Genomic DNA, 23789 nt, shown 5'->3' with positions numbered 1-23789 from the left:
AAGATTGTTAGCACCCAAAGTAACTGACTTCAGAAAAAGCCTATGCGGGTTTTGGTGGTAGGGGGGTGGGTAGGGGGCATGAGCTGTGTGTAAGGCAGAGGGCTAGGAGGGGAAATGAATAGGAAGATGGGTTGAACAGGGATGCTGGTAAACGTCAGGCTGGAAATCATCCGCCAGGGAACTAATTTTTCCGAAGGCGATTAAAGCCAGAAGCCAAGGGGAGGAGAGTGGCTAGAAGCCCCGCAGCCAATCAGAAAGCCCGCCAAGGACCGGTTGGACCTGGCCGGTCGTCTCAGGTCGCTGCGGGCTGGCAGTGGCTTTCGCTTGGTGTTAGGACAAGCTCGGCCTCGGGAAACGGATGACGATGAAAACTTTGGGCGAGAAGCAGAGTGCCCTTACGCCCCGTAAACACACTGGTGAACCTACATGAAAGTTATCGGTGGGGTGCAATGTTGGAGGCTTTTTCCGAGCCTGGGCCACTTGGAGTCCTACCAGGGGGCCCTTGGCCTGAGAAACCAGTTTTAGTTTAGAAGAGGAAATCTAACCTCTGCTGAGAAGCTGACAGGACGGACTGAAATGTACACGCTCCCATCCCCCGCTGTCCACTTTGAGAGGGATCCCCTATGGTATCCAGTCAAAGGGGCCGGCACTCGGGTAATACAGTCGCGGGACTTGGTCCCAAACTGCCTGTCAGGTCCGGGTTCAGTGGCTACAGGATGCTTCTGTGTCTCCACAGGGCTCGGCGAGGCGTGGGGCCACTCAAGTCGGACCAGCCCCCTGGACAACGTTGGCCGAGAACTGGGCTCCCATCTGCTCCAGGTACAGGTGCAGGTCTTCCGGCAACACATAAGCTTTGAGGGTCTGAGTGCCTGGCCCTGAGTTGAGCTTTTAGTTTCTCAGAAAACAAAAACAAAAAAAAAACAAACAACCCCCCCCACAAAAACAGGGATCCGGACTGCACGTGGCCCTCTCAGAGCCCAATAGCTGCTGCAAAGTAAAATTTTAGCTTTTGCAGATGATGCCTCAAGAGGCTGAGAGGGAGGCAAGGTGACAAGTGAGAAGTTGGGTTTGGAATGTAGCCCAACGAGGCCCCTAACCAAGGGAGGGGGCACCATTTGTCTCCATTGGGCTGAGGGAACTGGAACACCCCAGATCAGGCAGAAGAGGCAAGGCCACAGAACCATCCCAAATGAAGGATTTCCAAAGGAAATAACAGGAATCTGGTAAAAAGACCTGTCAGTGCTTTAAGCCCACGTCTTTCCAATTCAGCTACATCTGCAACTGGTTTTGTGTCCCTGTAGTGCCCAGGCTCCCTCTTCTCTTCCTATTGCCTTTCACTGCAAGCCAGCCCAGGCTGTGTGCAGGACCTTGCTTAAGCACATACACACCCCCAGATAATGAGTTTAACCAATGCTAGGCTCCCATTACCTTGTGGTTTGTAGTGCTCACAGTTTTAACTTGCTCTTTGCCTACTTAAGTCACAGAACAAATATTTTAAATTGCAAAACCCCGGTGGCATTTTTAGATTTTGCGCTTGTCCCAACCCTGCAACATCATCATTATTATTATTATTCAAGCCCACTGGGAGCTACTCTCCTGGAAGCCTTGAACCTAAGCAGCATTTGGGGAATCTAAGCAAGTTCTCCCTGTGGGCTGGCATGAGTGGCATCTCTTGACAGGAGCTCCTTTTCCTACCACTACCCTATACCTTTCTCCTTCCAAGACACCAAGAAGATTTTAGTTTTGTGGGACAAAGGAAGGGGTTGGGCAAGCATTCTCTCACTGACGTGGCCTTCACACCTTTGAATTTATCTAGAAAGGCACTTAACTCTAAGACATCTTCTATCAGATTTCCCTGTGTCCTTCCCCCAATATTTTCATATTCCCAACTAATTTTCCTCAGAAACATAAACAAGAAAACAAAATCCAAACTGTCCCTGACACTTTCCAGCTCTTGCCAATTTATTTCCTCTTCTTCATGCCACATTTCTGGTAGGACTGACTTACATTCCCAATTTCAATGGCCCACCCTCTCCCCATTTACTCCCTCATCCCTGCAGTCTGGCATCTCTCCCACCCATCATGCTCTTCACTGGCTTCACCACATTTTGATAGCAAGAATTAGATGCTCATCTCTTATCCTAATGAAGCTCACTCATTCCGCAAATTTAGGAGGGGCAATCGCATGCCAGATGGAAAGCCCTGCTCTCATGGAGTTTGCATTCTAAGGAGAGCAGCTTTACAAGCCCACACTGGTACAGTGTATAGTTTACCAGGTGGTATAGGTGCCATGGAGAAAAATAAGGAGGAGAGGAAGAAAGAGTAGTGCCTTTTAAAATAAGAGATGGTTGGAGAGGGCCGCACTGAGAAGGTGACATTTGGACTAAGACTTGAAGGAGGTGACACTGATGATTTAACATTCTCTCCTTCCCTCAGTTTCTAAAATAGCACTATTTCCCAGATTCTTCTCTCTCTCTGCCTGCTCCCTTTTGATTTCCCCACCACTGGTTGGCCTGCAAATGCTGTAATGTCCCCTAGGTTTCAGCTCTGTTTCTCCTGTTACAGCTTCAAGGCCACCCAGGTAATCTCACCCAACACCAGCCTCTCAACTCCTTTCTCTACATGAAACCAACTGGTTTCTCTAGTCTAGACTCTCCGTCTGAGCTCCAGATTTTTGTTTCCTACTGCAAACTGGACACATCTAAATGGAAATCTGCATACACTTGAAGTTTAGCATCTCCAAAACAAGGAGGCATTATCTCCCTCCCCCAGAATTCTACTCATACAAAATCACACTAAATCTTGGTTAATGATGTCACCTTCTGCTTAGTGCCTTCACTGAAACACTGAAGTAAACCTCTCTCTGCTACCAGTGAAGTCCATATCCAGAACCATCTTTGAATTAGATTCTCCCCTTTCTATATTCCCCTTGTGACTACCCCATTTCAGGCTTGACCATCTCTGCTGCAGCTGCCTTCTCTGATCTCCTCTTCCCCTCCCCTTCCTCCTCAGATCACTGTCTGCATTCTGCAAAACAAAATAAAATTAAACAAATGCCACATCTAAGCATGCTATTCTCCTGCTTAGAAACCTGTTAGAACTCTAGTGCTTACAGAGCAACTCCAGGTTTCTCAAATTGACATTTCAAGCTCCAAAATCTATTGCAGGTTTAGCTCCTCTGCAGTCTCTAGTACACCAAATTCATCACCTCAGAATACACTAGATTGGTCCTATCCCCAGACCCAGCAGACTTGGCCACTTCATTCCTTCTGCCTAGAATGCTCTTTCTCTCTTCTCCAGTCCAAGCTTCCTGTTCAAGGTTCTGCTCAAACATCAGCTCCCCTAAGGCCTGATTGTCCCCCAGGCCTCCGGTCACTCAGGCTCTGGGCCCCCTGCCTATTCAGCACTACCTGTTCAGCTATGTGGTCACTATATCTGTCTTCAGGCCAGTTGCTCCTGTTGGACTTCCTGCTCCTTGAAAGCAGGGTCTGACTCCTCTTGTCTCTGCCTGGACTGAGGCCTTATTCACAGAGATAGAGACAGTGAAAGTCTTAAGACTTTCCTTCATGGAGAGCCTGTCAGTTTGATGTATCAATGTAAACTTACACACACATACACCCTATGGCAATACTCTGTGGACTTACTCCTTGTAAAGCCTCTCATCTCCTAAACGCCCCCTGTCCTGGACTCTTTCCAGAGTCACTGGCCAGCTTTCTTCTGTCTACAAACTTTTGACTGCCAGCCCTTCCAAAATTGACTGACCAATGCCTACTGCACTGCTATTCCCAAACCCTGCTATTACTCCTTCCATTATAGAACACATAGGCTGTGATTTTTCCCCCTAGAACTGTGTGTGTGTGTGTGTGTGTGTGTGTGTGTGTGTGAGAGAGAGAGAGAGAGAGAGAGAGAGAGAGACAGTGTGTGTGTGTTTTATGGATGTATTTTCCTTGTTTGTTTCAGTGGATCCTGAGTCTTACAGGGCACTAGCCTTGTCCACCAATTACTCTGGATCTTTCCCATTGGGCTGCATGCCCCAGATGTTTACAAATTTAGAATGAACAAAAGGGCTCATGTGGCTAGTTTTCTATGCCCTGTTTCCTGCCAAACCTGCTCCACTCCATCTCTCTACACTTTTGGCTGAAAGTCACTAACTTCTGTCCTCCTGCTCCCATTTCTCCAGATGGCCCAGAGGGCTCTCTATTCTCTCTATTTGTGCCTCCCCAGACCCTGGATGGCTTCATCTTCGTGGTAGCCCCAGATGGGAAGATCATGTACATCTCAGAGACAGCCTCAGTCCACTTGGGTCTTTCTCAGGTAGGTGAGTGGTTCACATATCCCACCTGCAGTGTTTACAGCCAGAGCTGGAAGCAGGGGTAGGGGGCTGGGTTGGGGGCTGGGTGTGCTTCTCTAAACCTGGAGCTGGACATCTCACAGCTAGCAGGAAGACTCTTAAATAGTTCTGGGTCTCTCCATTTCTCCACTTCCCTTCTCCTTTACCTTCCACCCTAGGCCCAAACAATGGCTACTTTTTTGAGTCCCTACGTCAAGCCAGACAACATGAGAGGACGTTACATACTTATTTCATGATGTCTTTATCAGAACTTTGCCAGGGAACTGCTGCTGCTGTTGCTACTACTACTATTACTACTATTATTATTATCATCATTATTACTGCTATTTTTATTATTATATAGACAAGGAAGTGGAATCTTAGATAGGCTGCAATAGGTAGCAAGAAGCAGAGCTGGCATTGGAACTCAGGGCCAATTCCAGAATTCTGGCTGCTGTCCTCATGGTCCTGCAGATCCCCTGGCCTAATCTTTCAGTCCCTTCACCGGGCATTCCACCGCCACGGCGACGGCGACATCCTCCTCTTTACAGGTAGAGCTGACCGGAAACAGCATTTATGAATACATTCACCCGGCAGACCACGACGAGATGACGGCGGTGCTCACCGCCCATCAACCCTACCACTCTCACTTCGTGCAGGGTAAGGTAGACACATGCCTGCGACGCTCAGGCCCATCGCAGTCCGCTTGTGGTTTTTCCCCAATTAGTCGTGGCAGAGACGCGTGCTGTCCCACGCCGCCGGTGTCACACGACCTGAGCTTCCCTTCGTTCCTCTCTCCCAGAGTATGAGATCGAGCGCTCCTTCTTCCTGAGGATGAAGTGCGTCTTGGCCAAGCGTAACGCCGGCCTCACCTGTGGCGGCTACAAGGTGCGTAGCTGGAAGATCCGCTCCGGGTGGAGTCAGAGGAGGCGGGAAGCAAGGCGCGTGCGGCGTGGGAGGAATGTCCCTACCTCTGGGACTACCCGCAAGGGCACCCCCAGCTTGCGTCGAAGAGCCGCAGGCCAGGACTCTCCACGAGGGCCACGGAACTTTGTGAACAGCTGGGGACTATGCTTAAAGACAAAGTCTGACTGGGTCCCAATACTGGGTGGCCGCGGGGGCTATGAACTTGTGACCCGTAGAGATGGGCCTTAAGGGTCCGTAAGGCCTCTGAATGGGCGAGTAACTTTGGTGAATCCCTAAGAGTTTATGCATAGCGTTACATAAGAGGTTAGAAACCAGAGCTTTAATTCGAAGCTATGGGTCTCACGTTGAATGTCCTTGAACGTCATTAGCAGGTTTCAGGGACCTACTTCGCTATTCGGATGCGTTAGGGTTGGTGGGGCCAGGCTTCTGCATTTTGTACGCGCTCCCAGGTGAGTTCAGTGTGGCTGTGCAGTCACTTTCTTAAGACACCTTAGAGCACCAGTAACTTTGGATTCCTTAGTGCACGGGCGTGGTCAGCACTGCTTTGGGGCTAAGCAGAGTTTCAACATGTTTCAACCCCTTCTCCACCTTTTGGGGGCTCTTCCTACCTGTGGCTGAGTCTCCCTCCCTATCCCTCTGCCTCAGGTCATCCACTGCAGCGGCTACTTGAAGATCCGCCAGTACAGCCTGGACATGTCCCCCTTCGACGGCTGCTACCAAAACGTGGGCCTGGTGGCCGTGGGCCACTCGCTGCCTCCCAGCGCCGTCACGGAGATCAAGCTACACAGCAATATGTTTATGTTCCGCGCCAGCCTGGACATGAAGCTCATCTTTCTGGACTCCAGGTGGGTGGGCAGGGCCGGAAAGGGCCTCTCCTAGCCTGAGGGCGGCCCTGCTTAGTGACTGAGAGATTTCCGTCTATCCTATGAGCCCATTTTGCACATGAGGCGACTGAATCGGCCCTGGAAAGTGAGGGCGGACAGCTAGGTGTCAGACGGCTGTCGAGGGTGTGTGGGGAGGGCATCCCTGCACCCGCGCCTGCATTCATCCTGCAGGGATTGCTCTCCTCAGGGTGGCGGAGCTGACGGGGTACGAACCTCAGGACCTGATTGAGAAGACTCTGTACCACCATGTGCACGGCTGCGACACCTTCCACCTGCGCTGCGCGCACCATTTGCGTAAGGCGCCACCCTGCCCCGTACCCTAGCAACCTTGGCGCATCCGCTGGTTAGGGGGTGGGGGAGCCACGATTTAAATCCCTCGCAAGAGGACAGGTGGGAGCCCAGGGAGCCGGGTGGTGGTGGTGTGTGAGGCCTCCTGAGGGACTTCTCCGACACTGGGCCCACCTAAATTCTCTAACATCCGCGGGCCGCTAATATAGGCGGAAGAAGCATTTCTGGGCGAAATACGTCCCCCGCCCCCGGCGAAGGTATATTACTCTCCTATTGGTATTTTTTCACATCTGTGAACCACACTAAAGATGAACAAAAACCAAGGCTGGCGCTCACTTGCGTTGACTCGCCTGGCTTTTGATACAGCTTTGCTTTGAGCGTAATCTCCCGGGCAGGGATCGTGAGCGCCGGAGCTCAGCTGCCCAGAGCCTTACTTCCGTAGTTAGAAAAGCGAATCTGGAGGAAACCTCCAAACTCTAAGTGTTCCTCCCTTTGCTAATGGTGAAGACATCTGGCCACCCCTGTATCATCCCTAGAAGGGTGACCGGAGGGCTCGATGCAATACCACGGGACAATCAGTTCCTTTGGGAATTTGCCTGTCGTCTCTCTCTCTCTCCTGCCTGGTGCAGTTATTAGGGCCCACAGGGAGCCCTCAATTCTTACCACCAGGGATTGCATTTGGGGCCAGTCCCAGGCAGGCTGGTTCACCACCATCTGCCTCCTGTCTCTCCGTCAGTGCTGGTGAAGGGACAGGTGACCACCAAGTACTACAGGTTCCTGGCGAAACACGGCGGCTGGGTATGGGTGCAGAGCTACGCGACCATCGTGCACAACAGTCGCTCCTCCAGGCCACACTGTATCGTCAGCGTCAACTATGTCCTCACGTGAGTGCAAGACTGAGACCCCTTCACCCACCCCAGGCGACCCTGCTCTCTGCGAGAGTGCGGGTGGCGGCACGGCCGGGTTAGACAAGGCTCGGGCCACGGGGAATGCCATTTTGACCCTCGAGTGCTGGCTGCGCCAAGAGGAGGCAGATCGAACACTTTCATCTTTTTGAAGAGGTTTTCTTCGTTATATTCTAGAGAAAGATTTAGGAGTTTTTCCATCACAGTCCATATTTGCTTTCTTCTCTTTCTTTTTCTCTCTTAACCTTTTAAGCGAACTCTGCATTAAATAAAACTTAATGCGGCAGAAAGAAAGAGAGAGAGAGGAAAGGATCTAAGTACGGAGGCATTTATGGTTAACAAACAGGACATCTGTTTCATTTTTTCAAATCTGGGGTTTGAAGTTCTTAATTTTAACCAGAGTCTCCAATCAAAGTTAAGAGTTCTGAGAGAGTGGCTTCCCCCCTGAACCACAAAGGGGGCTTAAGTGACCAGGAGGATCTGACTTTAACTCGTAGAAAGCTAAGGGACCCAAGAGAACGCTGCAAGTCTTGGCCGGCGCCCAGGCCCCGCGCGGGGCGTAATTGCTTCACTGAGTGAGGAGCGGAGCTCTGGGTGCCACCTGCGGGCGCGAATGACAGGGAGGCTGCAGAGGCCTGCATTTGAGCCTTATTCTTTCTAGAAACAATAATCGTTTCTGGTTGCCAGTGTGGCCCTGCAGGCTCATCACGTGGCCTGGTGTGCGGCTGGTGAAGAAAGCGTGTTCTGTACAATGTTTGTGGAAGTTGAATTGCTTAGGGTTGAAGCCTTTATGAAGAACTCTTGTGTGTGCTGTTGCGCTCTCCCCACGCTTTTTTTGGTAGAGGTTGAAATTCTTGTGATTTTAGGGGATCTCATGGGTTGTTTACTTTGGAAGCTGGAAGTGTTGACACACCAGGCACTTAGTAGAATGCTATTTAGACATTAGGAAGTTGGTGAAGGGGTGCTATTTGGAATCAGACTATACTATAGGTGATAAGGACTAGATTCGTTTCACGTTGTTTTAAATTGCCAAATTAAAAATGTAGTAGTTGGAAATATTATGCTTGGCAGTGAGACTATTTGTTCTGTGTCTTGTTTAATAAAAAAATTTAATTCAATAGACTTAGAAAATGAATTTGGCTTAGATGAGGATTCAACATTCAAGAATAGTAGCTGGCAATTAGGAATAATCTTTTAATTTTTTTATCTTAGTAAACGGTGTTAATATTATATAATTCTTGTAATATCAAGAAGGCTGTGTATTTTAATACAAAACAAAATTCACCAACATTTTGGGTTTCATGAAACAAAACTATCAATTTCATGAATACAGTTCTTCATATTATTAAAATAAATGCAAGAGAGAATGGCAAAGCATAATACATAAAATAGCCCCCTCCGTGAAACAGTAGTATTAAAGGGTGAAAAATTATGTCCGCTTACCATGGAAAGGAAACGGACATTCTTTAAGAAGGTGCTTTGTATGTCTGAGACATCACAAGCATTACACATACACTCTGTTCTCTGGTGGGTGCCTGTGGTTAGTAATCATTTTTTATCAAACAGCAGGGTATATAGTCACACAGACCCATATAAATGATCCAAATGCAAGTTAGACCTCCCAATGGGTAAACTTAATTTATGTTTGGAGTCATTTTGAAATATTCTGTTTTGTTTTCCAGTAGATAAGTGTACATTTCTTCTTCTGTTGATTCTGTCATTCCTGACTTTACATACTCCTTCAGAACTGTATAATTAGATGATCAACTTTACATCACATTTAAAAAGATGTAATGAGGATAAATACATGATTAATAGAAGGAAAAAGAGCATGGTGCACATTGTTAAAACATTTTATACCTCTGAATGAAAATGGAAATAAACACACAGAAGCATATATACACAGCACACAAGATGAAAAGCTGAAATTGATTACCCTTTTATGAGTCTCAGCTTCAATTTCTTGTAGAAAAATTCTTAGGACAATTTTTATAGCTGCAAATGTGGAAATTGCTTTAGACGAAATGTCATCAAGTGGCTCAGTGTGTGTTGACAGGATTTTCATAATGAACAGGTTGCAGTTTGTTTGATGTGCATATCACACATCTGGCTGGAAGTTACTAATTTACATTGTCTTAGCAAATTAAATAGATGGCTATTGATTCTCCATGGTTGTAGTGAACTACCACATACATTTGTTTTTTAGGGCTACTTCCCTATGAAGCCTGAGAATGACAAGTGAATTCTTTCTAAATACACCACCTCAAACAAAGTACTTAAAACCACAAGCTCCCAAATAGTTTGACATGCCAGATGTTTTTCAAATTTAAACGTTTCAATAGCATACATTTTAAAGGGATTTTCATGTCATGAAAGTAGAGGTTTTAAAATAAGCCTTGGTCAAATGAGGTTGTGATGTTTTGGTGGAGGCAACATTCATAAGCTCGTTGATTTTCTAATTTCCTGATTTATTGCTGAAGTTAAAATATGCCTAAAAAATAAGTTATTATTATCTAACAAAAGCAACAATGAATTATTTAGCAACCTTGTTTTAATAAGCAGTTGCAACAGGGCATATAGGAAAACTGGATGATTTTAGAGGCAGGTGGTATACGCCTTGATGCTTTTTACTGACTTCTGTATGCCCACCATATGTTCTGAAAATCTGGAGAGGAGAGTGAGAAGATACTATGAGTAAATTCCGAAAATTCCCTTAGTTTTTCTGGGTCTCCGAGGTTCAGTGAAGCTTCTATAGCTCTTCATTAAACCCTTGCTCCAAAACAAAAGAAAACAAAACAAAACACTGATCAGTTCATAATTTTCTGCAAGACACACATACCCTGTTAGCTTTACACATTTAAAAAAGATTTTTCTTATAAGTTATGAGTATCCTCAGGCTTTGAAATAAGTGTTAAGTATGACAGGCCTTGATCTCTGGTTATTTTCAAGAGGGTAGGTGAATGGAACTAGTGTCTAGTAACAAGGATGTCGGGGAAAGTCCAGAATATATGGAGTATACTGTGTAAAGACCTACGTGAGTTTTCTTGAATTCATATTTTCTTGAGTTTAATTAGTATTATTAATTATTCATAGCCAGTTCAGATGGAAAGCTTTAGTTTTTAATGTAAAGAAAATGTAGAACACCTAATAAACTATGAAAAACAATTTCTAAGAAAATTAAGAGTCTTGGTTCTATTTATGTTTTCAGACTACATGTATTTTTAAAATAAGAAATATTCTGCCACTTTTAAAGATAACCCACTAGAGTATAAAATTCCTATTTAAAAATATTTTAAAACATAAACTTTGCAAATATAAAAGTTAAAAGAGAAGTAAATGAATATCCATATTCACATCATCTACATCCAACAACTGTTAATATTTTCCTATAAAAATATGCTTTATATCTCTCTCTACCTATATGTGTGCCTATTTTTAATGTGTATTTTTTTTCCTGCTAAATCACTTCAAAGTAAGCCACAGATATCATGGTGCTTCATCCTTGAATAGCATTTTCCTGCGTAGCCACTGTATCATTTATGATGACACATTTAAAATGTTAAAAATTATTGTGTGTAGAGCTTGCAAAAATATAGTTGAGAGCTAGTTTACTGGTGCCGTTAAAAACAATCTGCCACTAATGTTCGTCAAGTACTCATTGGTGTATGATCTCAATTAGGCTGATGGATAGATGATATTTTGTGAGGAGACTTTCGTAGGATAGAAAGTTCTAAATGATACTGTATTTTAAACTAGCTTTCTAATAAGACTTGCAAGCTAATACAATTCTGATATTATGTCTGGAAAGTAAAAGAGAGAGAATAGATTTAGTGAGTAATTTGGAAATTTTGGAATCAGACAGATTTAACATCTCAACTTCTTTTTCTTAGCAAAGACAGCTTCTCTGCTTATTTATTTTCTAAGTTTAGGATGGAACATTGCTTTCCTAGAAAATCTCACATGGTATTTTAGAGTGATTCACTGAACATATATGAGGAAGTAGTTTTCTATGTTAAAACTTCTATTTCTGTGTTACTAAAAGCAGAACAAATAGAGACAATTTATATTGGTAGTGTATGTAACATTTGCTGTCTACTAAATACCCCTTTTGAATTCATAGAAAAGTTAGGCTAAATACCAAAGGTGACATACAGTACTTCCTTCATGTCAATGAAAAAAAAAGGGGGCTCTATATTGTAATTACTGCAGATCCTATACTTTTTGTTGTTGTTTGCATATGGTATGTTAACCACAACAACTTACCATTATGAGAACCACTGTAGTTCTTAGAATTAAAAAGGATTTTAAATGTTAACATATTCTGTCAATATAAAACCCGACATATCCTTGCCATAAAGCAGCAAACATTAAAATATGTTCATATTGCTTTCCTCTTTTAGGTACATTATTTGTGCTGGGTTAATTTGGGTTTTCAAATTTTTAAAAATTACTTATTTAAAGACCAGTGATATATTATTATTATTACTAGGAGTTTTTAGAGAATGCTTTAAAAAAACTTGACCAATAACATATATAGTTATGGAGTACAATTTATTTTCCTGGTTAGCAAAATCACTTTTGTATTACAAAAATATAAATACAAACAATATAAAATGAAACACCTTTTCACTTAGCAAGCTTCAGAAAATATAAGATAATTTACTCTCTGGAGCATTTGTATAGACTTAATCTTTTGATCTTCCAAAATAATAATCATGCACTAATGTATACCCGTAAATTAGATTTGATCCTTAATTGTGTTTAATCTTTACTAAGATAATATTGAACATCAGAGTCACAGTTGTTCTTTTCAGATGATCTTTCATGTAACTTAATGATTATAAAAACAAATTGAAGATATATTTGTATTAATACTAATTTTATAACTACCAAAACACTTAGTTAAAAGGAAGAGCTGGGAGATTTAGTCTCTTTTGAAATACATAATACCAGTTAAATACTCACTTAAATAATCTTATTCTTCATACACTTTTTCCTTATTATTGTATTTTATCAAAAGGATCTGTATTTGGTTTTGAATTCATCTTTCATGAACTTACAGACTTTGTATTTTTTTAAACAAATGCTGAATTCGTATCTGTTTCAAAGTGCTGTCACATTGGTTACCTGACTTGCTTCTTTGATGGCTCTGCACAGTGGTTGGGTCGGAGATTGCTTTTTGTATTTTTAGGTGTGGAAACTGAGGCTCAGATATGCTGAGTAAGTAGTGAAGCCAGAATTAAAAGCTGGTGTGTCACTCCTACTGCATCCTGCTGTTCTCTGTGTATAGGGGTGGAAGTGGAAGGTGGTTGTGGGAAAGATGTCTGAGAGACAGGGATGGATTTGAATGAGTGAGGCCTGTAGTGTTCAGCCCACAAAACTTCAAGATAGGCTTTGATCTGAATTAATGATGGAAGATTAAGAAGCTGCCTCTTTGTGGTTGCTTCACAAGGGTGCGCAGATATTGACATTTTCCTAGCTAAAATTTAGCTGTTCTATCTTCTCAATGACATTCAATTAAGAATGTCTCATTTTTTCCCCATAAGTTTCACTAAGGACATTTTCATTTTGTAAGAAGAAAATGTAGCCTGCAAACATTTTAGTTGTTTACTGAATTGCTTGGTCCTAGATTATAGAAGTACATTATTGCTATTACTAATTATTCTATTTCTGCAACCAGATTTAACATTTTATGTTTTTGCTAAACAAAAGAGTTAACCGAAATGTCAGTAGATTTGCAAACCAAGTCAGATGTGATGCAAATTGCCTGCTGTGGCAGGGGTGTATTTCTTACATGGTGTGTGTGTGTGTACATCCCCATGGGGATGGGATGAGAGGAAGGAATTGACCCTTTTCTGCCTTTGAGAGAGAATGGAGGGGATATATGGCAGCAGGGGAGGCCCCCTGGGGGTTCTATTCAGAGGCCTGGGATAGAGAACTTCCTAGTATTCTTGGGTCTGCTGTGCCATCCTCTGGCCCCTTGGCACTGCCACTATCCAACTACTTCTCCCTCCCCAGGCCTCTCTGGCCTCCACTCCTTCCTCTGTTGTTGCTCTGACCTGAAGGACACTGATTCATAGGAGTTTCCCTTTAGTTCCTGGGTAGAGGCCACTTGGTGTGTATTGAATGACCAGCCTGTCTACTTTCCTCTGGCTTTCTCTTAGTCTGGCTGTTGGGAAAAAAGGGTTTTGATCTTTGACTCACATTGTAGAAAAATACGGATCACTGCCTCATATGAAGGCAGGCACCCATATATGTTATTGTGAATGGATGGAGAAATTCAAGGGAGGCTTTACTTGAACTCCAGAAAAACATGTTTTTGTCTCCTGACTTAGTCTACTCACATGGGAAACACTGTTATGTTTGATACAAGATGTGTGTGTGGTGGGGGGTGGGATGGATTATACATATCTTCATAATTTAGTAAAAGGCTGCCACTGCTCTCACCTTAACCAATACTTCCTTCTCTGTTCTTGGCTTATGATGTCTTTCCAGATGAGCAGGTGATCATAGAAAATTCACTGGAGCTGAAATGCTAGTGTCTATAATTAAGCCTTCATGCAAAAAAGGATTGGTTGGAGTTTAGACGAAATTTGGAATTCCTGAGTACCTGTCAATAGAGGAATTTAGCATTCTGGCTTGCCTGAGGGAGTAAACTCCCTGACTCCATCTCCCTTTCTCCTCGCCTTGGCATTGCAAGGACAGGGAGCTGGCCGGGAAGAGGGCTCCTCCTTGGTGATCATGGAACTGAAAGGAGAAGTTACTTTGTGGGGCATTGACAATGTTTGGGGTCTGGCTGAGCCTGGGCCATCTCCAGAAAGTGGTATTGCAGTAGGATTGTGATTTTGTTTTTATAAAGACCCACAGTATCATTTTCCAAGCAATCTGTGAAACAAAGGCATGGGCTTTAGTGCCAGATGGGCCTGGGTTAGAATGAAGACTATGCTACATAATAGCTGTGAGGCCTTGAGCAGATCACTCTACCCCTTTGACCCTCTGTTGCCCCATATGTGAAATGGGGACATTCGTACCCACCTTTTGGGGATTTATGGAGGATTAAATGATATAATATAGAGAGAGAATATAGCACAGTATCTGACAGAAAGCAGGTGCCTAGTATTTCTTAGCTGTTTTTATTAGCTCTTGCCAATTATGTAATGTCAACTAAAATACTTTGAAAGAGAATTCATTGTTTTCTCCTTAACTTGACTTTCTGTATCCTCAAATCCATAAATTTAGGTGTTTATTTTCTCTTCCCTCCCCTATCCCTTAACACACAAACCTCCAAGTTTTGTGCTCTTTGTGTGTGGTGATTTCTGCAGTTTGGTTAGGCTCACCCTGTTTTTCACTGTAGTCTTGATGCTCTAAGGGGAGTAGAGATTTCTATGTAGAGGGAGAAAACACAGCATTTATTGAGCACTTTCTTTGTGCTAGAGAGTGTGGAAGGTGTTTTACATAGGTTAGTTTCTTGGGGAAAAAGAGATCATAAGAAACTAACCAAATATCTAGGGTAATTTAGTTGGAATCAGTGTTTTGTCAACTTTACCAATAGTTATAATTTAATGTGCATAAAACACCAAACATTGACATTTCTGATGGTGTTCAGTGGAGCCTTTTGTATATTCCTCATTGTTCTACATGGACTGAGTGTGGCTGTATACCAGTGTTTCACAGAGTATAGCAGATTGCAATGATTAATTGCATGATTACATGAAGTAGGAATCTTAGCATTTATCAAGCAGTTGACAATTTAGTTGGTGAAATAGAAGAGTTCCATCGAAATCTTTGAGAAGTTCAGATTAGCTCAGTTTGCAATGTTATAGTATACTTGCACCATTTGCTAAGGACACAGAATACAAAGGAGCTCAAAGTGACAGTAGAGCTATCAGGGAAAGGATGGAATTTTAAGGGTTGGAAGCAGAAGTAGAGTGTTTTGAGATGGGTCAATGACCTATATACATTTGTCATGTTGTTCTTTTCCCAGTAAGCACTCCTTGTAACACTGTTAGTATCACTCTTCAAATTAGGTTCAAACAGTGATGGTCTCACTGCTCTTGTTTAAGCTAGGTTTTCTCTCTTTCTTTACATTCTTCACCTTGAACTTCATTCTTGAAACTGAGCATGTTTCTTTTTTTTAAATTTCAATAGTTTTGGGGGTACAGACGGTTTTTGGTTACATGGATAAATTCCTTAGTGGTGATTTATGAAATTTTAGTGCACCTATCACCCAAGCAGGGTACACTGTAGCCAATATGCAGTCTTATTCCTCACCCCACACAACCTTTCCCCTGGAAGCCCCAAAGTCCATTATACCATTCTTATGCCTTTGGGTCTTCATAGCTTAGCTCTTACCTATAACTGAGAACATATGATATTTGGTTTTCCATTCCTGAGTTACTTCACTTAGAACAGTGGCCTCCAGTTCCAACCAAGTTGCTGCAAAAGACATTATTTTGTTCCTCTTTATGACTGAGTGATATTCCACAGTATATATATACCACATTTTCTTTATCCACTCATTGGTTGATGGGCACTTAGATTGGTCCATATCTTTGCAATTGCAAATTGGGCTGCTATAAACATGCATGTGCATGTGTCTTTTTCATATAATGACTTATTTTCCTTTGGGTAGATACCCAGTAGTGGGATTGCTGGATCAAATGGTAGTTCTACTGTTAGTTCCTTAAGGAATGCCCATACTGTTTTCTATAGTGATTGTACTAATTTACACTTCTATCAGTAGTGTGAAAGTGTTCCCTTTTTACCACACTTACACCAATATCTATTGCTTTTTGATTTTTAAATTATGGCCATCCTTGCAGGTGTAAGGTGGTACCTCACTGGGGTTTTAGTTTGCATTCCCCTGATGATTAGTAATGTTGAGCATTTCTTCATACGTTTGTTGGCTGTTTGTATATCTTCTTTTGAGAAATGTCTATTTATGTCCTTTGCCTACTTTTTGATGGTATTATTTGTATTTTCTTGTTGATTTGTTGGAGATCCTTGAAAATTTTGAATACTCGTTCTTTGTCAGATGCACAGTTTGCAAATATTTTCTTCCAATCTGTGTGTTGTGTGTTTATTCTGCTGATTGTTTCTTTTGCAACGCAGAAGCTTTTTTTTAATCAGGTCCCATTTATTTATTTTCATTTTTGTTGCATTTGCTTTTGGGGTCATAGCCATGAATTCTTTGCCTAAATCCATGTTCAGAGGAGTTTTTCCAATGTTATCTTCTAGAATTTATAATTTCATGTCTTAGATTTAAGTCTTTGATCCTTCTTGAGTTGATTTTTGTACAAGGTGAGAGACGGGGATCCAGAACTGAGCATGTTTCATCAGGACTGGAAACTATTTTCTCTATATCCTCAAACCCACACATTTAGGTGTTTATTTTCTCTCCATTCCCCAGTCCCACAACACACAAACCTCCAAGCTTTGTGCTCTTTGTATGTGGTGATTTCTGCAGTTTGGTCAGGCTCACTCTATTTTTCACTGTTGTCATTGATACTCTAAAGGAAGCAGAGATTTCCATGCAGAGGGAGAAACGTCAGCATTTATGGAGCACCTTCTTCGTGCCAGGGAGGCACAGTCTCTTGCCTTTCCCAAATTGGTACTGATATATAATTAACAAGTTCACCCAGCTTTAGTAATAAATATGTTTTTTTTTCTTTTTAGCATCTAGACATACAACACCATTTAAAATTTTTTTTTTTGGATATCAATATTCTGAATGTAAATCTTATTGAAACGAATACACTGTGCTGCCGTATGTATGATGGGTATATTTTAAAAATTATTTTCAGAAAGAAAATATGAGGTATATATTAGGATGACAAACACCAGCAGATTGGAGAAAAGGGAGGTTCAAAGTCCCTATACAGCTGGTTCCAGATTTGCAGGGTCAGAGAGTCTCATTTGATATTATAATCCTGTTGTTATTAGAATATGATGCAGTCTAAACCTTAGGCTTCTTAGTTGGATGTTTCAAACTCTGAAAAACATAGGAATGCATTACAAGGTATTTGAAAAATATGTTATCAAATGAGGTATCATAATATTTTATCCTGTGACATGGCATATTAGTTAAGAAGTTGGGCTCTAGAATGTAGAGTCTATTGTCCGTTCCCTAGCACTGCCACTCATTAGCCCAGTGACTATGGACAAATTGCTTAACTACACTATCTCTCTATTTTTAAAAAATCTGTAAAATGGGCCGAGTGTGGTGGCTCATGCCTGTCATCCCAGCACTTTGAGAGGCTGAGGTAGGTGGATCACGAAGTCAGGAGATCGAGACCATCCTGGCCAACATGGTGAAACCCCGTCGTTACTAAAATACAAAAAATTAACCGGGTGTGGTGGTGCGGGCTGTAGTCCTAGCTACTTGGGAGGCTGAGGCAGGGGAATTGCTTGAACCTGGGAGGCAGAGGCTGCAGTGAGCCAAGATCGTGTCACTGCACTCCAGCCTGGTGACAGAGCAAGAGGCCATCTCAAAAAAAAAAAAAAATACCAAAAACAAAAACAAAAACAAAATACAAAAAACAACGACAACAACAAAAACCTGTAAGATGCGGGTAATAATGGGTTCTACCTCATAGAGTCAATTGGAACATTTAATGAGATCATGTGTAAGGTTGGTGGCCCTGTGCCCAACACAAAGTAACACTGAGTACATGTGAATTATTACAGTGGTTATTTTAGTGAAATTGAATAAAATAATTTTTGTCTTGCCAATGAACACAAAATAAATGTGTGTGAGTCTTTGGACCAATGGAGGGAAAGCATGAGTCTTAGGAAGCAGATGGTGGCCCAAGAACAAGAAATCAGCAATTATCTTGATGCATCTGGAAAGATCCTCCTTCAATTGGTTAGGACTAGTGGCCTTTAAGCATTCATAAAAGGCTTATTGAACACCTATTATGTGCCAAGCACTGTGCACAGTTCAGAGGACATCAAAATGAGTAAGACAGTGTCTGTAGGGAAAAGAAATAAGCATATGTCCAAGCTGTATCCTAGCCTGATTTCCCTGTGGGCTTGCTGGTAACTGAGATGCCTTTATGGAGGAAAGTACGTCCACTCACAATTAGAAGGAAGAGGGCCTAAAGCACCTTGGCACTGTTTGGGTCACTCCTGAAAAATGAGCTCACAGGTGTGGTTAGACTGCTTTCTGGCTAGATAGTAGGTAGGGAGGAGAGACAGTGGGAGGAGTTGGGCACCTTGGGAGGGGTGTGTGTGTGTCTGTGTGTGTGTGTGTGATGTGTATGGTAAGGGAGTTCATGACTGGCAGCAAGGTAACTGGCTACAGATTAAGGAGTTCAACTTTAACTCTCTCAAGGACGTTACCCAGGGTGGGCCCTGTTTATCTCATTGCCTCAGGGAGAGGGAGCAGTTGTGTTGATTTTTGTCCTGTTGGAATGATGTTTTGTCCTGCTGCAGATGGGATTTTTCAAAATTTTGGGGTTTGAGTTCTGATAGGATTATGAATCTCAGTGAATTTTTAAATTAAAGAATTCTAGATTCAAAATAGTCTTTGCAGATGTATTACATTTTGAAATATGTTGTCAATTATTTTGGATGTTTATAATTTTTTTTGCTTCTTTTTTCTTTTATAAGAGGTAATTCTCAGGTATTGTTCCTCTGTCTGGGAGAGACTGGGAGGTGGTTGTTAGCTCTAAGCTGAAAGAGGCGTGGCACATTGTTTTGTTCATTGCATGCTTAGGAAGGCTGAGGAGTAAGACAGACTCACATCTGAAGGGCGGCTGCTTTGTGTGAGAGGCCAGAGAAGCTAAGTGACTCAGCCAATACAACATAGCTAGTGAGTGGTCCAGCGAGCATACCAACCCAGGGTCTGGACTCCAGCATCCACCTGCTTTCCTCTTTGGCATGCTTTCTTTAAGTGGATAATGCTGTTTTAGGGTGAACCATATGAAATTGTCACTTCTATACATTAAAACAGTTCAATATTGGCAATTTCATATGATTCCACCTAATACTTACATAGTCATTTATGACATTTTGCCAATATTTTGCATGGTCTATGGACAGTTTACTCTCTTTTTTAATATGGGGTCTCCACAAAGTGACTCAGTTTCTTCAGAGTTTGGGTATACTTGGGACCTGCTCAATTGCCAGTCGATATCCTGAGCCCATCTCTTCTTCACTAATTTTAGCATCAACAGTCATGATGTTTTCACAAAACAACAATCAACGTGTCACCCACAGAAAATTATTTTATTTAGAACATTTAATATTTTACGAGGATTCAAATGGGAGCTGCTGTCTTTACTAGAAGAATATTTTTTCTTTGATTGATTGCTAAATGGATAGGGCCTGTGAATGGATCCTTCCCCCACCCCCGCTCCAGGGATTTCTTGTTCAAACAGAATTTGTTGTATCCGCATCAGTAAAGCGTGCTAATATGGGCTGATGGGTAGATTGTAGAAATAGCCTCATTATATTGAACTGGATATCATAATGGTACCCATTAAGGTGGGATTCTCTCTGTGTTTGTGCTTTTAAACCCAAGTCCCTTGCCACTTTTTACATCTCTCCAAGAATAGCAACATTCTCTGGTAAAATGCGATCTTAGAATGTGCTGTCTCTCACCTCTTCCTACTGAAAACCGTTAACAAAGGTAGAATCCCTGGTTCTGAGCATTCTTACAGGTTTGCGGCTGCTCTTCAGCCATTCATTTTACTCTCGTGCTTGTAATGACTATAACGTGTTCTTGTGACTGAACCAGGAGCTTCACTTGTTTCAGTACCTCCCATTAATTGATATTGGTGTCCAAACAAGCGACAGGCAAAGAGCTGCTTGTTATCAGATCAAGCCAAATGCAACACAGAGTTTTTCATTTTAATTTTGATAGGCCGTTAAGAGACTAATAGTGTTGGAAGGCACAGCATTTATATTCACTGTTGAAATCTTACCACAGTCCTGGCGTAGTGAAGTATTTGTTGTGTTGGATTTGGGTAATGGACCCTTGCAGGGTTACAGCTCAGGAATGCTAGAAGAATGAAGCCCACAAAGGGGAGGGCAGAGTGGGTGTCAATTTCATTCCTCCAATTAGAGCAGTTAAAGAAATAGCAACGTGCAGGATAGCATTTTATTGTGAAGGCTAATTGAAAACCAGGAAGAAAATATTTACAGACGTTACATGGCACTTTACAGAATAATCTCTTTTCTATTTGTGTCTCTTCTTGGTTGACTCAATAGGACCTTCATTACAAACAAATTTCTATCATTAGAATCAGCTTAATCTCTGTTGTTGTAATTAAGGTAACGGTAAGAAATGTTTTAGAGTGTAGTCATCTCTATGACAAGCTGGGGATGGTTCATGCATTCACTCAGCAAATATTTCCCTAGTGCCTACTGTGTGCCAGGCCCTGGTAGGGCTACAGTGTGGCTGAAAGAGACAAAGTCCCTACCCTCATGAAATGTAAGTTTTTAAATATATATGTATATGTAAAAAATATACATTATATGTGTGTGTGTGTGTGTGTGTGTGTGGGTGGGGGGGTGGGTCTTAATCTGTTGCCCAGGCTGCAGTGCAGTGGCAAGATCATGGTTCACCGCACCTCGACCTCCCAGGCTCAAAAGATCCTCCCACAGCCTCAGCCTCCGGAGTAGCTGGGATGGCATGCATGTGCCACCACACCTGGCTAATTTGAGTATAAATTTTAATATACTTATAAAGTACTTATAAAGAAATAAAAAAGTCATATAATATCAGAAAGTGATAGGAGAAAAATTAAGCAGGACAAAGAGGTAGGGATGGTCAGAAAGGTTTCTCTAAAGATTCATAAATGAAGGAAGGGAGCCAGCCATGTGGAGTCCTACAGGGAGAGTATTCCCGATGGAGGGAAGTGAATGCAAAGGCCCTGAGGTGGAAACCTGCTTGGCATGTTGAGGAACAGAGAAGGTCACTGTGGTGGCCACTGAGTAAGGGAGGGGGAAGAATGGAAGGAGATGATGCTAGAAGAATAGGCAGGGCCAGATCGCCTTGGATCTTGAAGGTTTTGGGAAGCCATTGGAGAATTCTGCACACGGGCATGACATGATCTGATTGTATAAGAAAAGATCATTCTGACTGGTTTGGAGAGTATGGATGGTGGAGATGGAGAATACCATTGAGAAATGATTGTAATTGCCTCGGTGAGGGAAGGTGATGACTTGAAAGATGGGGTAGTGGTGAGGGGTCAGATTTGGCATATGTTTTGAAGGTAGGCCCAATGGGATTTGCAGATAGATTGGATATGGGATGTGAGAAGATGAAAGGAGTCAAGAACAACACCTAGATTTTTTAGCCTGAGCAACTTGGGTAAATGGTGGGAAGGAACAGTTTAGCAGGCAGAGGCAGCAATGAGGGTTGTGTGTGGACAACATGTTTAGCTTCAAGATGCCCGTCATTCGTCAGAGTGGAAATGTCATGTAAGCAGTTGAATCTGGGGTGCTGTGGAGTTGGGAGGACTGGCCTAGATACTGGGGGTAAACAGTGTATGGAATTTAAAGTCAGCAGAGTGGATGAGATCCCCAGAGAGTATGTGTTAATAGAAAAGAAGCATCCTGAAGACTAAACCCTGCAGCTATGCAATGTTTTGGGGTCTGCAGAAGTAAGAGGCACTCAAAAGGAGGTTAGGAGGAAGTAAGCAGTTGGAAGTAGGGGTGGGAGTACTTCAGTGGAAGATATGCAGTGAGGTACGCCTTGGGGAAAGTGTGAAGCTTGAATTTTGTCCTTGGAACCCTCCCTTTTCAGTGGTTTCTTATCTTCTCTGTGGTCCCCTTTCATCTGATTCCTTTCATTTAAACAACAACAACAACCACTCAGATAACAACTGGTTTAGCTCTCAAAGTATGGCCCCTGATTGTAGCATCAGCACCACCCAGTAGCTTGTTAAGAATGCAAATCGTTGGGCTCAACCCCAGACCTACAAATGAGAAACTCTAAGGGAAACAGCCCAGCAAGCTGTGTGTTAACACTCTTCAGGTGCTTCCGAGGCGTGCTGAAGTTTTAGAACTACTGCTTTCAGGAAAGTAGCTGATAAACTGAATCAATAAATGATAACACATGAGGCATACACTATTATCTCTCTCTCTCTTTTTAAGAGATAGTGTGTTACTCTGTCACCCAGGCTGGAGTGCAATGGCATGATCATAGCTCACTGCAGCCTCAAAATGCTGGGCTCAATCAATCTTCCTGCCTCAGCCTCTCATGTAGCTAGGATTACAGATGTGCACCACTAGGTCTGGCTAATTGTTTTTTATTTTTTATAGAGATGGGGTCTTGCTATGTTGTCAAGGCTGTTCTTGAACTCCTGGCCTCAAGCAATCCTCCCACTTTGGCCAATGAATGAGCCATCACTCATCCAGCCCTACTATTATCTCTTTCTGGGCCATCGGCTTAAGACAAATAGATTAAAATATGAATAAACGCATTTTAAGCATCAGCTATTGGACCACTATTGAGACATCTTCGTCATGGCCAGGGAACTTTCTCAAGCCCTATAAATCATAAAAACCTGCTGCTGCTGCCTATTCTGTCTTTGGTAACGGGCTCTGTTGTTAACTACGTATTCTGTGTAGTATTATACAAGTTCTCTGACTTCAAGGATAGAGACAATGAAAATTTTGGTGTTTTAGTGGGCAATCCAAAATCTCTAGCAAATACTCAGAACTTATTTTGTTTAAACACAACTTATCTACCAGGCAATTTAAAATAATGTCTGAATACTGAAGCACAGAATAATACTACTAATAATGGTAGGACATTTGTTGAATTGTGAATTTTTATTCATAAAATAAATCTCAAATTTATTTTAGTCATTTAAATAATAGAGTTTAATGTATATTTAGCCAAGCATTACAGTAGTAAGGGCTTTAAGGAGATTAGAAATAAATGAATCCAATTAAAGAACATGTCTATGAGATTTGATAAGTCATAGGTATGAATGAACTGTTTGCACAGCAACTGTAAAGAAACCATTAATGATTAACTATCTAGAAGAGGTTTAATCAAGAATAAATGTTATAGGACATATTTTAAAATATTTAAGTTAAACAAATGAAGATTTGTGCATTTGAAAACATTGCATCATGCCATCATTTTTTGCGGTGTCATTTCCTGGGGAGTTCAGAATCTGAGGCTCTATTTTTCTATAATCTACAGAAATGCCAGTGTCTTTGTGTTGTACAGAAAAGGGCAGAGCTTCCAACCGTGCTGTGAGGTTTGGCCTTATGGGGTCTCCCCACGTGAGATCCTGTGGGGAATTTGGGGACTCTGTGGCCTTGGGTATGGGGTCTAAATTTCCCAGTGTTGTGGAAAATTATTTTATTATTACAGGTATTTTTTTTGTTCCTGGAGTTTGTGTGGAGCTGAAAACAGGAGGTATGCTCCCTTCACCCCTCCACCAGAGGATACTTTTAGGGTTTAGGAATCAGTTTTGCTAAGAACTAGATAGG

General features: G+C 42.3%; 1 protein-coding gene and 1 long non-coding RNA gene across 3 annotated transcripts in view, besides 3 other annotated features; one reads left to right on the top strand and one right to left on the bottom strand.

Annotated features, from left to right (window-relative positions):
- Window positions 1–23789, top strand: part of SIM1 (SIM bHLH transcription factor 1) — a 79913-nt gene that overhangs the window by 10341 nt on the left and 45783 nt on the right. For both annotated transcript variants that reach the window (NM_005068.3, NM_001374769.1), the window contains exons 3-9: window positions 737–819; window positions 4225–4314; window positions 4882–4990; window positions 5133–5218; window positions 5903–6102; window positions 6329–6435; window positions 7166–7313. In NM_005068.3, coding sequence (NP_005059.2) covers window positions 737–819; window positions 4225–4314; window positions 4882–4990; window positions 5133–5218; window positions 5903–6102; window positions 6329–6435; window positions 7166–7313 — 823 coding nt within the window. The remainder of the gene's footprint in view (window positions 1–736; window positions 820–4224; window positions 4315–4881; window positions 4991–5132; window positions 5219–5902; window positions 6103–6328; window positions 6436–7165; window positions 7314–23789) is intronic.
- Window positions 5741–6422: an enhancer, noted in NCBI's record as "H3K4me1 hESC enhancer chr6:100896035-100896716 (GRCh37/hg19 assembly coordinates)". NCBI's record gives its function as "activates a minimal SCP1, AML or CMV promoter by ChIP-STARR-seq in naive H9 embryonic stem cells {active_cell/tissue: H9 hESC(naive)}" and the evidence as "EXISTENCE:reporter gene assay evidence [ECO:0000049][PMID:30033119]".
- Window positions 6423–7104: an enhancer, noted in NCBI's record as "H3K4me1 hESC enhancer chr6:100895353-100896034 (GRCh37/hg19 assembly coordinates)". NCBI's record gives its function as "activates a minimal SCP1, AML or CMV promoter by ChIP-STARR-seq in naive H9 embryonic stem cells {active_cell/tissue: H9 hESC(naive)}" and the evidence as "EXISTENCE:reporter gene assay evidence [ECO:0000049][PMID:30033119]".
- Window positions 7787–8469: an enhancer, noted in NCBI's record as "NANOG-H3K4me1 hESC enhancer chr6:100893988-100894670 (GRCh37/hg19 assembly coordinates)". NCBI's record gives its function as "activates a minimal SCP1, AML or CMV promoter by ChIP-STARR-seq in naive H9 embryonic stem cells {active_cell/tissue: H9 hESC(naive)}" and the evidence as "EXISTENCE:reporter gene assay evidence [ECO:0000049][PMID:30033119]".
- Window positions 9785–23789, bottom strand: part of SIM1-AS1 (SIM1 antisense RNA 1) — a 51311-nt gene continuing 37306 nt past the window's right edge. The window contains exon 3 of the long non-coding RNA NR_187148.1: window positions 9785–17325. This is a non-coding gene — a long non-coding RNA (SIM1 antisense RNA 1). The remainder of the gene's footprint in view (window positions 17326–23789) is intronic.

Source organism: Homo sapiens, chromosome 6 (genome assembly GCF_000001405.40).
Source record: "Homo sapiens chromosome 6, GRCh38.p14 Primary Assembly".
NCBI lineage: Eukaryota > Metazoa > Chordata > Mammalia > Primates > Hominidae > Homo > Homo sapiens.
Note: the sequence above shows the minus strand (reverse complement) of the source record. Positions and strands in the feature narration are given on the sequence as shown.